General features: G+C 42.3%; 1 protein-coding gene across 6 annotated transcripts in view, besides 1 other annotated feature; it reads left to right on the forward strand.

The window, feature by feature from the left end:
• Positions 1 to 17531, forward strand: part of DNAH9 (dynein axonemal heavy chain 9) — a 371279-nt gene that overhangs the window by 92742 nt on the left and 261006 nt on the right. For all 6 annotated transcript variants that reach the window (XM_011523703.3, NM_001372.4, XM_017024292.3 and 3 more), the window contains 6 exons: positions 2657 to 2787; positions 3110 to 3236; positions 8520 to 8672; positions 9911 to 10036; positions 12992 to 13231; positions 13814 to 13974. In XM_011523703.3, coding sequence (XP_011522005.1) covers positions 2657 to 2787; positions 3110 to 3236; positions 8520 to 8672; positions 9911 to 10036; positions 12992 to 13231; positions 13814 to 13974 — 938 coding nt within the window. The remainder of the gene's footprint in view (positions 1 to 2656; positions 2788 to 3109; positions 3237 to 8519; positions 8673 to 9910; positions 10037 to 12991; positions 13232 to 13813; positions 13975 to 17531) is intronic.
• Positions 8276 to 9475: an enhancer, noted in NCBI's record as "BRD4-independent group 4 enhancer chr17:11602804-11604003 (GRCh37/hg19 assembly coordinates)". NCBI's record gives its function as "activates an origin of replication core promoter dependent on BRD2, P300/CBP, MED14 and CDK7 cofactors, and independent of BRD4, by STARR-seq in HCT116 cells {active_cell/tissue: HCT116}" and the evidence as "EXISTENCE:reporter gene assay evidence [ECO:0000049][PMID:35650434]".

Consider the following 17531-nt stretch of genomic DNA (forward strand, 5'->3'; position numbering starts at 1 on the left):
TATAGATTAAAGGTTGTATATTTGCAGTGAAAAGTAATAGAAAACAATTCTGTATGGCAGTTGTCATTAAGTCAAATTGAATAAGCCAGATTTTATTCATCTCAAATGCCAGTGATTGAAGCAGACAAGGCTTAATTAAAAGGGGGCCGGGACAGAGGTGGAGATTCTTGCAGAAACTTTAAGGGAGATGTTTGAGAACTTTTAATTAAAAATATTGAAGAGTTAGTATCATTAACCTCTACACAGTGCCACAGGTTTGTGTATAAAATATGTAAACACATTTACTTTCCCTGTAATAACAATGAAACAGAAACAATTTGAAAACGTAATAAAATCAGCCAGGCTCTAACACCCTAACTGGTAACTATATTCATTCATTATGAATTTCTCCCAACTTTGGTTCATGTATATACATATTTTTACATAATTGCTCTCAGTGTAATTATAATTTTCTATTCAACTTTTTTCATTTGAACATTTATGCCAGATATTTCAGATACTTCTGCAACCTTGATACTTTTTTATTTTTAATTGGAGCAAAATATCCCATTGAGGAATCATAATTTACTTTGCCCTCTTGTGTTTTTTTGTTTGTTTTTGTTTTTGTTTTGAGACGGAGTCTTGCTCTGTCACCCAGGCTGGAGTGTAGTGGTGCGATCTCGGCTCACTGCAACCTCTGCCTCCTGGGTTCAAGTGATCCTCCTGCCTCAGCCTCCTGAGTAGCTGGGATTACAGATGAGTGCCACCACGCCCAGCTAATTTTTGTATTTTTAGTAGAGACGAGGTTTCACCATGTTGGCCAGGCTGGTCTCGAACTCCTGACCTCGTGATCTGCCCGCCTCAGCCTCCCAAAGTGCTGGATTACAGGCTTGAGCCACTGTGCCCAGCCTACCCTCTTGTTTTTAGGTCTTCTTGGGCAAGGGGCAGGATCACAGAGGGAAGGAATGGCAGGCCTGGGCTTGAGTCCTCATTCTCTCACTTGCAGCTGTGGGACCTTGGGCAGGACACTTAACCTCTCAATGCCTTGGTTTCCCTGTGTGTAAACTGGGACTAATACTAGTATCTATTCCAGAGTCTTCATTAAAACAATTCACATGGCACATACCATTATGATTGTTGTTATGTAATAATAATACCACAAGCTCTACCACCTCACCAGGTGCCATGTATTTGGCTGAAGCTAATTGCATATATTAGTCTGTCAATCATTTCAATGATACTGTGAGTGTGTATGTCTGGGAAAAATGTTGACAACGGATTACTTTTGACATCAAAGGAGTATATTTGCTGAGGGAAAATTCATTTTGGTTATATAAACTTTTGCAGGGGTCCAGAAAGAACGTTAGATCCACTATCTACTTACGAATCAAGTGTTGTATACCTGGGGCTTGGGATGGTCTCTGAGACCTCTTCAGGGAGTCCTCAAGGTCAAAATTATCTTAATAATCACATTAAGATGTTATCCGCCTTTTTTTTTTCTCTCATTCTTCCATGAGTGTACAGTGGGGTTCTCCAGAGGTCAGATGACATGTGATATCATAATAAATTGATACAGAAGCAGTTTTCTGTTAAGTCAGATATTGTAGAGATTTGACAAAAAGTGAAATGATGCCCCATTTTCAACTGTTATTTTTGGTTTTGGAAAATATACTTAAGTATTTTATTTATGCTGACATAATGGGTTTATTATTGTTACTTTTGTTATTGTCGTTGAGATGGAGTCTCGCTTTGTCACCCAGGCTGGAGTGCAGTGGCACGGTCTCGGCTCAATACAACCTCCGCCTCCCGGTTTCGAGCGATTCTCCTGCCTCAGCCTCCTGAGTAGCTGAGATGACAGGCACACACCACCATGACCGGCTTTTTTTTTTTTTTTTTGTATCTTTAGTAGAGACGGGGTTTCACCATGTTGGTCAGGCTGGTCTCAAACTCCTGACCTTGTGATCCACCCGCCTCTGCCTCCCAAAGTGCTGGGATTACAGGTGTGAGCCACCGCGCCCAGCTTATTATTGCTACTTTTAAAATGCCCTTTTTTTTTTTTTTTTTTTTTTTTTGAGACAAAGTCTCCCTCTGTCGTCCAGGCTGGAGTACAGTGGCACGATCTTGGCTCTCTGCAACCGCACCCTCCACCCTCCAGGTTCAAGCGATTGTCATGCCTCAGCCTCCCGAGTAGTAGCTGAGATTACAGGCCTGCACCACCAAGCCCAGCCCAGCTAATTTTTCTATTTTTAGTTGAGACAGGGTTTCACCATGTTGGCCAGGCTGGTCTCAAACTCCTGGCCTCAAACCATCCGCCCGCGTCAGCCTCCGAAAGTGCTGGGATTACAGGTGTGAGCCACGGCGCCCGGTCTAAATGCATTAATGAATATTTTAGAAATTTCTTTTTAAAAAAGCTTTAGCCTCTGGTACAGAAAATATTGAAAGATATGATAGATAGTACCTACATAAACAAAAGCTCTTTGGACTCCTAAACAATTTTTGAAAATGTAAATGGGTTCTAAGCTGAATGCAGCTTAAACTAAGGGTGTTTCCTTCGTTGAGTCTATTCTCTGTATTTGACAACCCAGGAACAAGTTTCTGCTTCTAACTGGCTCCATGGAGGGAGCTTCTAGGAACTGAGTGGAGTGGTGGTTAATTGCTTCCACATTTTTATTTGCAGGATTCTAAAAGGTTTGAAGGCATCGACATTGACTTTAAAGAGCTAGCTTATGATGCCCAGAAAATTCCAAATGTAGTGCAAACCACCAACAAGCCAGGCCTGTATGAAAAGCTGGAGGATATTCAGGGCAGGTGAGGGTCCGCCCATTACCCCTTCTCTAATAAGAAGGCATCATTTCCTTTTCCCCATCGTCTCTGAGACCAGTGGGCAGAAGTGAGTATGGGTGCCTTGCATGTCCCTTTCTTTGCCTGTGTGTTTGGGTAGCATGGGGCATTATTAGAGGTGTTGACGCCAAGGTAGACACATCCATGTATATCTTTGCAAATATCTCTAAGTGTTTCTTGTGCTAATGCATATGTTCCGTCTATTGCATATACATACATTTAAGTAATGTATGTGTATCCATGGGTCTAGACATTCTTAACTGGGAAATTCTATGTTCTGTGCCCTCAGATTGTGCCTGTGTGAGAAGGCCCTGGCAGAGTACCTCGACACCAAGAGGCTTGCCTTCCCGCGGTTTTACTTTCTCTCCTCCTCCGATCTGTTAGACATCCTTTCCAACGGCACAGCTCCACAACAGGTAAGCTGGAGGAGCATCTGCAGAAAGGTCTAGGAGGGCTGAGGGGTGCCCAGCAGGAGGCAGTTTCTGGCTCCCCATCATGCCTCTTCTCTCTGGCAGGTTCTGTACTTCAGACCTGTCTGTGTTGCCCCCAGCATCATCACATACCTCGGAGCTTTCTTGCTTTCTTGCTTTCTTGCTTTCTTGCTTTCTTGCTTTCTCGCTTTCTCGCTTTCTCGCTTTCTCGCTTTCTCGCTTTCTCGCTTTCTCGCTTTCTCTCTCTCTCTCTCTCTCTCTCTCTTTCTCTTTCTTTCTTTCTTTCTTTCCTTCCTTCCTTCCTTCCTTCCTTCCTTCTTTCTTTCTTTCTTTCTTTCTTTCTTTCTTTCTTTCTTTCTTTCTTTCTTTCTTTCTTTCCTTCCTTCCTTCCTTCCTTCCTTCCTTCCTTCTTTCTTTCTTTCTTTCTTTCTTTCTTTCTTTCTTTCAGATGGATTCTTGCTCTGTCGCCCAGACTGGAGTCAGTGGCACGATCTTGGCTCACTGCAACCTCCGCCTCCTGGGTTCAAGCCATCCCCCTGCCTCAGCCTCCCGCGTAGCTGGGACCACAGGTGCATGCCACCATGCCGACTGATTTTTTTTGTATTTTAGTAGAGACGGGGTTTCACCATGTTGGCCAGGGTGGTCTTGATCTCCTGACCTCGTGATCTGCCCATCTCAGCCTCCCAAAGTGCTGGGATTACAACTGTGAGCCACTGCACCCGGCCACCTCGGAGCTTTCTTAATCCCCATCAGTATTGCTGCTCAGCATGCCCTCTGGCCCATCAGAGGCTAATCTCTAACAAAGAACTGAGAAACTTTGAGGATGGCAAAGGTGGAAGGAGTTGAGGCTTGGCAGAGAATGCCTTCAATCTGATTCTGAAGAAAGATCCAGGAAATACTGGCCAAACTCGATAGCTAAAATTTCTATAGGGAGATAAGATTGGAAGTTATGTTAACTGAATATGGAGGTAAGGCTTATTGGCAAAAGCATATATGAGAAGCCCAAAATGTGGGGTTCTGGCTTCTGGTTCTAGACAGTTACTAGCCATAGAGTCTTGGACATGTGACTTCTTAGCAACAAACTTTCCTTATCTGTAAAACAGAAGAAACCTGCTGTGTTCGAAGGTTTTTTGAGTATTAAAGTAACTAATTGAAGCAGTGTTGGTATTTGGAGCTACAGACACTGGTTCTGAAATTTGGGAGTGCATCAGAATCACTTGGAAGGCTTGTCGAAGTACAGATTCCTCGGTCCCACTCCCACTGTTTCTGATTCACTACGTCTGGGTAGAGCTGGAGAATTTGCATTTCTAAGAATTTTCCCAATATGCTGCTGGTCTAGGGACTACACTATGAGAACTTCTGCTCTCAACATTGTCTGGGTCTCAAAATGCTTGGATGAGTTCTTTTTCCTCATGTGATTTTGTTATTCATTTAAAGAATAGTTGGGCTCATTTGCTTCTTTTTGCTTTCAGTTTTAGGGTTTTTCCCATACATGTTTATTTGATTGTTTGAATATGTATGACACTGATAGGATTCCAAAAGTCAAACTATGCAAAAAGATATGTATATACTCAGAGATGTATCCTTGCCTCCTCTGTTCCTTTCATGCCATAACCACGTCTGTTCCACCCACTATAGGTAACCAATTTCATTAATTTCTGGGTTAGCTTTCCTATGTCTATCTTTACAAAAATAAGCAAATGCACATTTACATTCATGCATGTACAGTTTCTAATTTCCCCTTCTTTCATACACAAAAGGTAGCATGCTACGCCTACCTGTTTGCACTTTGCTTTTTTCTACTTAGCTACATAGCTTGGAAATCACTCCATATCAAGTCAAAGATATCTCCCTCATTTTTTAATATTTGCATCATACTCCATGGATTGATATACCACAGTTTGGCCATAGGTTATTTATTATATTTTGTAATTACAAAGAATGTGGCATTGAATAACCTTGGACTTTGTATTGTTGGCCATCTGTCTTCCAGGTAAACTCCTAAAAGTGAGATTCCCGGCTCAAAGGGTGGATACATATGTAGTCTTGTTAGATATTGCCAAGTTTCCACCCTTTTGCTTCACCACAAGCAGCAGACAAGAGCTTCTCAAACAGAGCCAAAGGATGAAAACATGCATAAGTTGTTTTGTCTTTGACCTACCCTTTCTAACTTAGTGAAATTAGGTTTTGATTTGTTGATAAGAAGCAAGTACTAAAGAGAGATTATCCCTGATAGTTATAGCAGTTCTTTTTTTCCTATAGATGAAAATATTTCCAAAGTAGTCCAGGTGTGGTGGTGTTGAAATATTTATTATTAATGCATTAGCATTCTGTATTATAACTGTATTTTTATTCATTCTGTGTTCAGATCACTGCCAGATTTTTTTATATCTCATTCTTTTTAAAAATTAATTAATTTTTTTTTAAGGTTGGATCTTGCTCTGTCACCCAGGCTGGAGTGCAGTGGCATGATCATAGCTCACTGCAGCCTCAAACTCTTGTGCTCAAGGGTCCTCCCACCTCAGGCTCCAGAGTAGCTGGAACTACAGGCATGAGCCACCACACCCAGCTAATTTTTTAAAATTCTTTGTAGAGACGGGGTCTTGCTGATTTTGAACTCCTGGCTTCAAGTGATCCTCCCGTCTTGGCCTCCCACAGTGTTGGGATTATAGGCATGAGCCACCAGAATAGGCCTCATTCTTAAATATTTATTTTGATTCATTTCTTATTTGAGTACATTTTTGAGTATTCCCCACACCCTAAGAGGTGAAGCATGGTGGAATACATCCTAATTCCTTCTATATCTGTGACTCTGTCATTTCACATGTGAGCAAGTGAATGGTTAGGGTTAGAATTCATGAGTCACAGTGATCACCTCTCAATCCATGCAGATATCACTCTGCTGTTTGTTGTTACAAAGAAGTCATCTGAGGCCTGCCTGCTTTAAAAAAAATTTCTAGATAGCCTAATTTCTTTCTATCTAGGTCCCTATAGAGAATAAAATTTAAATTAATTTCTAAAAATTTGTATGCTTATATACTTGTTTTGTTAATTTATCCCTAAAACATGATGAGATTTTGTCCTATCTGAAAACGAGTGCTTTTATGATCTTGAAAAAGTCTTCTTCTAGCATGTTTTTAAATAATACATCTATCCCATTTATCTGTATATTTTTTCATTCAGGTTTATCATACTTCCGTAAGCTGAGATTCCACTTTATACATGCTATATACATTACCTTCTCTTTCATCGTATTTTTATCTCTTAGTCCTCTTCCTTGGCATTTATCAGTAAGTTTCTCAAGCTCTTCCACCATATTTAATTTTTTGTGTCAATTCTGCACTTTAGTGTTGCTAATACTGCTATAAACTGTACTCTGTCATTGTTAGTCTCCTTACTTTATTTCTCTACCTCTGCCAACTCATCTTTCACCACGTTTTATAGACTTCATGTTTCTTTAATGTAATTGAAAGAAAAACAAGGTGATGGTTCACAAATTGATTTGTTTCCATTATTAAAGGTTTAAAAAATGTTATATACAATTTTATGTAAAGTTATATATAATTATGTATAAAGGTTAAAAAAATTATATATAAAATTATATATAATGTTACTTTATAGCATATATAGTATATATACCTATATAAAATTTAGCTATATATAATATATAATTATATATTAGTATTATATTATTAATATATTATTATATTAATATATTATTATATTAATATAATAATATATTAATAATATAATTATATTAATATAATAGCAATATATTATATAATATATTAATATATAATAATTATATAATATATTATATATTAATAATTATATATTAGATTAGATAGAAAATAATAATATATTAATATTCTATATTATACATACTAATTATATATTATATATAAAATAACATAGATACATTATATATTTTATATATATATATGCTCTTCTTTGCCCTCTTGAGTCCTGTTTTCTCCTTTTAAATTTTGGGATATTTTCATAGGTTCTATATTGTTGTTATTTTTAATTTGCATTTGTTTTTCAATAAAGAAAGGTCTATCTTGGTATTTGTACCCAAATCAGTGTGGGTGGTGTTTCCATGGGTACCTTCACAGTTTACCTAAACACTCTTAGATTTGTCCTCTCATCTCATAAGCTGGAGAGCTGGTTGTTCTAAATTTAGCATTAAAAGTCAGGATACCAGCAGCTGGAGGGCCCTTTGTAATTATTCAAGAAGCTCTACCAGGGGGCAGGTTCTGTTTATTCTTTTTCCTTCAGTCTGCCATTTTCTTCACCTCAGGACCACAACATAGCTCTGTCCAGCATCCCTCCTAGCACTACAGCCCCAGGCAATCACTGTAGAGGACCTCTACTCCTCAGATGCCATGGCTGGGAGCAGCCCGGCACAGCCAGACTTTATGCTTGCCATGAGCATGCCTGCACTGCTTGGAACCCTTCTGATGTGTGTTTGTTGAACTGAAGAGGTTTCAAGAATGGGGTGGCTATGGCCGGGTGTGGTGGCTCACACCTGTAATCCCAGCACTTTGGGAGGCCAAGGGGGGCGGATCACGAGATCAGGAGTTCAAGACCATCCTGACTAACATGGTGAAACCGCATCTCTACTAAAAATACAAAAATTAGCTGGGCATGGTGGCACACACCTGTAATCTCAGCTACTCAGGAGGCTGAGGCAGGAGAATCGCTTGAACCTGGGAGGTGGAGGTTGCAGTGAGCCAAGATTGCGCCACTGCACTCCAGCCTGGGCGACAGAGCCAGACTCCGTCTCAAAAAATAAAAATAAAAAAAGACTGGGGTGGCTTCTTCCACAGGCCACTGCCGCCACCACTGTTGACTCACCAGATTCAATGTATGTTAGCATTCTTCTACTAGATGGTCCTTTGCTCATGTCCTGTACCATGGTAGTGTTTTCTTAGGAAGAAGGTTTACAACTGGACCATCATATTTTTCTCCAATCTAGTCCTATCTATAGTAGACCAATCCAAATTTAGTCAAACCATTGTGACTTAGTTGGTTTATAGCTAGTGCACAACTCTCACTAGTTTTATTCAGTCTTCCTTTGGCCACTTCTACGGATTCATTTTATTCCTGTCCTCACATCAGCATTGTTCCCACAAACTTCCTTCTAAATGCTTGGTATCCACCACTCTGTCTTTCACAATGATTGCCACATGGTAGGCCTCTAAACAATTCTAATAAGCAGCTTCCCGAACATGTTTTATGATCCATTGGCCTGGTTTCCCTTCATAGGTTCAACGTCACCTTTCCAAACTCTTTGACAACATGGCCAAGATGCGATTCCAGCTAGATGCCAGTGGGGAACCAACCAAGACAAGCCTCGGCATGTACAGCAAAGAAGAGGAGTATGTGGCTTTCAGTGAGCCCTGTGACTGCAGCGGGCAGGTAACACAGTAGCCCTTTCCCCTCCTTCTGCTTTTCTCTCTCAAATGCCTTCATTCAAATATGATCAGCATCAACTCTAGGAGGGCCTTTCTGACCTTGGTCCAGAGCTGCTGTCCATGCCCTCCAAGAGCCAGCTTCTTTGACTTGAACTGATGTTGGAGCAGCAGCTGGCGCCCTGCTTTCCTCTTTCAGGGAAGGACACATGTCAACATTCATATCTTTTCCTTAACCAAAGACCTGTGCAGAGGGAAATAAAATGCACATAAACAGCTACCCAAGTCAATGAGAAAAGGATTTTAAAATGATTAGCGGCACCAGGAGACGTCAACATGGCAACCCCTGGAGCATCCTCTGGGAGAATCTGGAACACTGACACCCTCCCTGGGAGAAAAATGTCCTTTTGTGGAACCAGCTGCTTTCCTGAGATGTCCCCTCTCTGCACAAATGTGTCTTAGTGTCACTTCCTCCCACAGCCTTCCCCTTGGAGAACAAACTACCACCGTGCTCCAGGAACTGCCTCCTCCAAATCTCCATGTCCAATGCAAGGGACACAAACCACGGGACCATTTACCCCTTAAGCCTCCTTCCCATCCATTAGCACCACCGATAAATATAAGCCTTTCTTTATTTATTTATCGTCTGAAATGATCCAGCAAAGCATTGCCCCTGGGGATTCTCATCTAGTGCCAAATAACAGCTGGGGTAAGGATATTTTACAGGGTTCCACCCTTATCACCTATATCTAAGAAAGCAATTCTAGTGCCAGAAAATAATCGCTTCTCAGTTATATGAGGGTGGCCCTGGGGTTTCATTCACAATATGTTCTTTCTGTAGACCCAGAAAGCATTGAGCTGGGGAATACAATCCTGGTTTGCGCTTCATACTCAGAGTGGACAAGGTCATGAGAAGCCACTGATTTATTTACACCCAGCTCAACCCAGATTTCTATTTCCTTGTATGAGCTCTGGGTGACAGCCCCCACCCCCTTAACCTGCTACTCTGTCCTGCATATTCCAAATGCACACATCAGCCTGCTGTTAATTAAGTCTGGGTCTCACTTATCACCATCCCGGATTACGTAAACAGCACATCTCTCTGCACCTTCTGGCAGCCACTTGGGGCTGTATACAATGTGTGGGCTCCCTTTCCTTCACTCCCTCAGACTGAGTGGAAGAAAATATGTAGGACTAACCAAAACTTCTCAGGCACCCAGTGTCTAACCTGAGTTGTTCTTTCAGGTAGAAATATGGCTGAACCATGTCCTTGGTCACATGAAGGCCACTGTGAGGCATGAGATGACAGAAGGTGTAACTGCCTATGAAGAAAAGCCGAGGGAGCAGTGGCTTTTTGACCACCCAGCTCAGGTATTCTCCTAATGGGATCCCCATCCTCCATGGTTGGGGCTGTCTTCCTCCGCAGCCTCCCCCAGCCTTCAGCAGCTGGTAGATATCAGGCTGGCTGCATGCTTCACAGCCAGGGAGGCTTGAATCCCAGACCACTGTGAGGGGTCAGCAGGTGGGAGCAGGGGGATTAACAATAATGACCTAAGTCAACCCTGACCTTGGGAAATCAAGGGTGATCTCTTTTTGCCCTCATTGGCTACAGAAGGGAGAAAATGTCAACAGTTCAACTCTTTGAGCCAGCCTACTTTCTATGTGCCAAGCTCTGTGCTGAGCACAGGACACACCAGTAGGGAACAAGACAATGACACCTGTCTTGCTGGAGTTTACAGACTCATGTGGAACTGAACTGCTGACACATATGACTGGTGTTTTGTTGTTGTTGTTTTGTTTTGTTTTTTGTTTGTTTGTTTAAGACGGGGTGTTGCTCTGTCGCCCAGGCTGAAGTGCAGTGCCACGATGTCGGCTCACTGCAACCTCCACCTCCCAAGTTCAAGCCACTCTCCTGCCTCAGCCTCCCAGGTAGCTGTGACTACAGGCATGCGCCACCAGGGCTGGCTAATTTTTTTTGTATTTTTGGTAGAGATGGGGTTTCACCATGCTGGCCAGGCTGGTCTCAAACTCCTGAACTCAAGTGATCCGCCCACCTCGGCCTCCCAAAGTGCTGGGATTACAGACGTGAGCCTCCGCGCCCGGCCATGACAGGTGTTTTAATAGGGGAGGCTCAGGGTACTCTGGGAGCATACAGATAGTTCATGAGGTCTGGGGACACGCCCCTGAGCATATGATATGAAAGCTGAGATGTGAAGCAGGAGTTAGCAAGTTAAAAATGGGAGCAAAGAGCAACCAAGTAGGAGGAAGAGCCCAGGCTCAGAAGACAGGGTGAGCAGGTGTGTCTGAGCCAGAGTAAGCGGAGGAGGAGCAAAGGCTGCAGGTGGATTCTGGAAGCCAGTTTCTGTAGACCTTGTGAGAGAGTCTGACTTGATTCTGAGATAGAGTGGAATTCCTTATAGGTTTCTCAGAAGCATAATAAGAGAGAAGCCAGACCTAACAAGAAATGTTTAAAGTAACTCTGGCTACAGTAGGCCACTCCTCCTTCCCTCAGTTAACAGTATAGTAGTAGTGTTGCTCTGTTTGGGGGTTGCAGACATTTAGTAGTCATCAAAGCCATAGAGTAGATAAGATTGCCCTTGCAAAGTATGTAGAATGAGAAGAGAGTGCAGAACAAATTCTTGAGCATCATTCAGAGCCAGAGGAGGAGGAAGGAGGAACCAGTAAAGCAGAATAAGAAATGGTCTTTTGGGAGCAGAAGGAAAACCGGGAAACAGTAATCATGGAAACCAAGCAAGAAACTGTTGGTAGCAGGTAAGAGGTAGGAAATGTCAAACACTTCTAAGAGATGAAGCAAAATAAAGAGGATGAAGAAGGTTCATGGATAAACTTGGTGAGGCCATTTCAGGGGAGTGGTAGGGAAGGGGCCACATTGCAGGGGCTGAGGAGTGGGAAAAGGTAGAAAGTATTCACAGTGGCTGGGCGTGATGGCTCACGCCTGTAATCCCAGCACTTTGGGAGGCTGAGGTGGGTGGATCACGAGGTCAGGAGATCGAGACCATCCTGCCTAACACGGTGAAACCCCGTCTCTACTAAAAAATACAAAAAATTAGCCAGGCGTGGTGGTGGGCACCTGTAGTCCCAGCTACTCAGGACGCTGAGGCAGGAGAATGGCGTGAACCCGGGAGGCGGAGCTTGCAGTAAGCTGAGATCGTGCCACTGCACTCCAGCCTGGGTGACAGAGCGAGACTGTCTCAAAAAAAAAAAAAAAAGAAAAGAAAAGAAAGTATTCACAGTGAATGTGTGTGAATAGCAGGGAGAAACTTGGCTACGAAGAAGAGAGGAGAAAGGAGTCCACACTGCAGAGAAGAAGAGGTGTTTATTAATAGTAGGATTGGAACATCCTCTCAAGTTATCCCAGTAAGGCTGCCAATGAGGGGGAGCTTCTTTAATAAAATCTAATGGGACATAAACTCAAAGGGAAAAATGGACAAACAGAAATGGTGCTGTTTACTACGATGAGATTCTCCATTTCACAAAGGGAGTAAATCCCATCAGGCTTCCTTGTTTACCTGTATCAGAATTTTGAGACAAGAGAATGTGTTGCCTCCTCCTATTGCAGTAAATGTCATCTAGAGTGGTGTCCCCCAAACCAAATGATACTACAGATGAGCAATGGATCTAAATTCCCCACCATGAGTAATCAAAGTTATGCATGTTCCATACAAAGCTTTCCAGCAAATAGAAGAAATATGTATTTCAATTGCTTTTTCTATTTATTTATTTTTAATCTCTGAAAATGCAAATCATATTAACCACAATTGAATTTCAATATCTCTCATCTTGGCACTTAAAAATAGGCACTTTAAGGTTTTAAAATATCTTTAAAATGTAGTGAAAGTATGGTAGAAGAGCAAATGTGTGCCACAGATGATCAGCAGTGGCTCACTAAATTAGGTTGTCAGACCACAGAGGAGCAGAAGACTGGGTGTCATTGGGATGGTTGGGCAACATATTGTCATCCTCCCAAGCTTGGGAAAGTTGCTACCTTTGGGAAGTAAAAGACTGATTCATCCCCGTCACAATTTCTAGAAGGCACCGGCCTTGATCAGAGTCAATCTTGGGTTCTTCTCAACCGAATGATACATTTTTTCAGGAGCAGAAAGTGCTTTTCCCACCTGTACCGCAACAACTTCACACCTTCAAGGGTTTAGAGCATATGGTTCACTTAGTCAGTGCTGGTGGAAGAGGGAGGGATGGGGCTCATGTCACCCACACAATTACATCCTGAGCCCTTGCTGTGTGATGAGTGGGTTGGTTGGAAACAGCCATGATAACAGCTTTACTAGGCAACTCTTGCTGCCACAGGTGGCCCTGACCTGTACTCAGATCTGGTGGACAACAGAAGTGGGCATGGCATTTGCCAGGCTGGAGGAAGGCTATGAGAGTGCCATGAAGGACTATTATAAGAAGCAAGTGGCCCAGCTCAAAACCCTTATCACCATGCTGATTGGCCAGCTCTCCAAGGGAGACCGGCAGAAGATTATGACTATATGCACCATCGATGTGCATGCCCGGGATGTGGTAGCCAAGATGATTGCTCAGAAGGTGGGTCCCAAACATCCAGGGATGCCCACTTTTGTGTACAGCTACACTGAGAACAGCACATACAGCCAAAATATGGGGGCCCCAGGGTCTGTACAGCACTGACCAGACAGCTGGGGGAGGATCACAGTGGCTGCTCCTACTTTTTTTTTTTTTTTTTTGAGATTGAGTTTCGCTCTTATTGCCCAGGCTGGAGTGCAATGGCACGATCTCGGCTCACCGCAACCTCCACCTCTCGGGTTCAAGTGATTCTCCTGCCTCAGCCTCCCAAGTAGCTGGGATTACAGGCATGTACCACCACCCCCAGCTAACTTTGTATTTTTAGTAGAGACGGGGTTTCTCCATGTTGGTCAGGCTGGTCTCAAACTCCTGACCTCGGGTGATCCGCCTGCCTTGGCCTCCCAAAGTGCTGGGATAGAACCCTGTAATCAGAGCAGCTTGTGCTTTCTATGCTGTGGTGGCCACAGCATGCTGCACACTTTAGCAGCAGTCAACAGCCAAGGCATCAGACCCCTATGTGTCTTGTGGCCAAGGGACTACCTGCTGCCTATGATTCACCCACCTACTCTACCACTCTCTCTTTAGGTAGACAATGCCCAGGCTTTCCTCTGGCTGTCTCAGCTGCGCCATCGTTGGGATGACGAGGTCAAACACTGCTTTGCCAACATCTGTGATGCCCAGTTTTTGTATTCCTATGAGTACCTGGGAAACACACCTCGCTTGGTGATCACACCTTTGACTGACAGGTGAGCACTGGTGTCAACCACTGACAGCCTTACTGCTGTCTGGTTCAGGCCAGCTAGTGGGCATCTAGGGTCAAAGTCCCTGTCACTTGCTATTTGTCCATAGAGCTACAGGGAAAGGGCCTGACTCAACACAGCCTGTTTAAAGTGAAACTGAAAGGATGTAGGGCAGAGCCTTTCTTGGAACAAATCCCAGAGCAAATCAATGAGCCGTGACTTTTTGAGGAATTACTAAATGGTCATACACACCCGAGTTCTAACACCAGCCCTAACACATACCAGCTGTTTGATTATTAAAAACATTGACCTAAGTTTTGGTTTCCTCATCTGTGAAATGGAAGTGGTAACTCACAACTTCCATGATTATTGTAAGGATTAAAGACAGTAACGTTGGGAGGGAGAGTAGGAGGGTGATGAAGAGAGGTAGGTTAACAGATACAAACATACAATTAGATAAAAGTATAAGTTCTGTCATTCAACAGCAGAATAGCATGACTATAGCTAGCAACAGTGTATTGTATATTTCATAGTAGCTAGAAGAGAGAACTTCAGTTATTCCCAATACATAAAAATGATAAATACTCAAGATGATGAATAACTCAAATACCCTGACTTGATCATTACATTCTATGCATGTAATAAAATATCACATATACCCCATAAATATGTCAAATATGTATCAATTTAAAAAGCATACTGGTAACCCCCTCACCTCCATTTACAAAACACAAAGAAGTATTTCTCTCTATATTCATTAAAGTTAAGAAATATACCATGGAATGTTATACTGCACAAAGATTATAATAACTTTCTAAAACGATTCTCTTGAAAATGTCATGGTGCAATTTAATGAAGAACTCTTAAGTAAGTGAATAATGTATTTTGCTTTCCAGGCATATTTATAAAAATAAATATGGTTCATTAAAACAAGCACATAAAAAAGACAGTAATACTCCTAAGGAGGTTAGTATATAAGTGCTCAGTAATCGATCCCTATTATTATTTTCTTGTCAATCAATTGATCAATTAACTGGCACATTTATTCAGTACCTCTTACCTGGGAATGCAAAGAAATAAGCAAGGTAGTTCCAACCATTTAGGAGCTTGCATGTTTTTTTTAGAAAGACAGTATTTCCATCACTTATATTAATTCACACATGAATGAATTCACGCCAGACACTGAACAAGTCACTGGGAATACTAAGATGACTAAAACATTTTCTGCCCTTAAAGTCCAATTCTAATGAGGGAAATAAGACATATGTAGATAAAAATTTAAATATCACCAAGGGGAAAAGTACAAGGCCATAGTATAAAATAAGGTACGAGGCCATATGCAACAAATTTCCAAGCAGGTGACTCAGCAGAAAGCCCTTTGAGCACAGAGGGCCCCACTCACAGTAGAAGGAAAAGAACTGGAAAGGCTTCAGGGAAGAGATGGTATTTGACCTGGAGCGTGAAGGATGTATTGGATTCCAGTAGGATTTAAATAGGTTATGAGATTACTGTCCAGGTGTCCATGAAATTGTATAGAAATCTGTTCACACGTAACTTTTTTCTATTAAGAGGATATACAGCATTCATTAATTGTTAAAATGCTATGCATCCCCAAAAGTTAAGGAGTTACTGATAAACATTGCTGGAAAATGGCATATTGGTGGCAAAGTCACAGACATGGGAAAACTCAAGATATGTTCCTGGAAGAGGGAGTTCCGACTTTGGGGGAGGTAGTCAGCCATAAAGGAGTCAGAATATAAAGTATGAAGAATATATTCTTTATCCAGTAAGTAGTGATAAACTATTGAGAAATTTCATCAGAATGTGAAATCTGTACTTTATGAAGATTCATCTGACAGCACAACACAGGTAAAGGACAGTGAGGGCAGAACAATAGGTCATGATGCATGGGAGAAATGATATTTTAATTCCACTGAGATTTCTGTAAATTCTGCTGGGAGTTCATACCCTTTCCTTGTAATTCCATTGAACATTAAACCTCCTCTTCCCCAAAAGGAATTGTATGTCTGAATAACTGGTTCACTGAGATGAATGACTTGTAGGTAATGAAGAGATTGTCAGAAATTGTGAGTTACAGTTAAAATGACCAGATAGAATCTGTGCTATTTTTTGACTTTTCTCTTTTCCTGTTCTCAGTGATATCACTTGTATTTTAGTCAAATCCTCAAATATATTTCCAAGTATTTGATAAATATTTCCAATTCAGTTAAATTGCAGTCACTGTGTTCATGGAATGAATAGGACATGGAAAATCCAAAGTAAGTACTTGAAAATCCCAGCACGATTCATAGCTCAACACCTCATAGCTGAAGCATGATGGTCAAGATAATTCCTCTGCTTTTTCATTTCTTTAATTCATTTTCCTCCCCAGTCTGGAAGGGGAGAGGAGAGTCCGACTCGAACTGCTTCCCTCTTACTCTGTATCTCTCTTTTTTGTGATATCCCTTAGAGGGCACATCACTGTCTCCAGTGGCTCTCCACTCTGCATGGACCAAAATGTGAACTCTGCATGAGACTTGGTAGTCCCCATCAGCCACCCTGATGACTCACTCCCTACACTCCAACTACATGGCCTCCTTTCTGTTCCTTGATCACCTGGAGTTCATTCCACCTCAGCACCTGCACACACATGCTTTCCTCTGCCTGCAATGCCATTCTCAAGGCCGTCTGTTCCACTGGTACCGTCTCATGCTTTTGTTCTACTCTCTGTCCTCAGAGGCCTTCCCTGACCACTGTTTCTAAAAGGCAGCCTCTCCCACCACACACACACACACACACACACACACACACACACACACACACACACACACACACAGAGAGAGAGAGAGAGAGAGAGAGAGAGAGAGAGAGAGAGAGCAGGTAACCCTGACAGAGCCTCTGTTGATCTTAATGTTTCCCCCATTCTGAAATGGCCTGGCTTGCCTCCTCCTTGTTGGCATTCCCCTTTGGAATGTAAACCTCTAGCAATCAAGAACCTTTGTCTATCGTGTTTGCTGTTATGTCCCCAGCCCCTAGTAAGTGTTGAATTAATAATCATCAAATGAATGAATGACATTTAAATATTGAGGACCCAGATCATAAGATTAGACAGAATCAAGCAAGGGAAGTTGACTTAGGGGCAAGGTCTGTCCAGGACTCTGTCTGTGTGTCTGTCTGTGTCTTGGCTCCCAGTGAAGAAGAAACAGCTACTCTGTGTTTTGCTCTTAGCTGGGAATCCATCTTCCTCCCTACCTCAGCTTAAGACAAATGCAAATAGCACCTCTGCAGAGGGAGATGTCGATCTCTCTGTAGCTAGATGGTAAAGGAAGTAGCAACTGGAGTTGGGGGTGGGGGGCGTGGAGTCTTAACAGGTGTTACTTGGGCCAATTAGTTGGAGGAGCTCATCCTGTCTGGGTTAAAGGAAAAGTGGTTCCCACCTTTTCATTCAGACTGGACTCCTCTAGTATCTGTCTTTAGGGCCATTCTCAGTCATTAGCAGGAAGGAGGTCCTGTACAGTCAGTCTTCCCTACTGCAGTGAGGTCTGCCTATCTTGGAATATAAG

Source organism: Homo sapiens, chromosome 17, assembly GCF_000001405.40.
Source record: "Homo sapiens chromosome 17, GRCh38.p14 Primary Assembly".
Classification (NCBI taxonomy): Eukaryota; Metazoa; Chordata; class Mammalia; order Primates; family Hominidae; genus Homo; species Homo sapiens.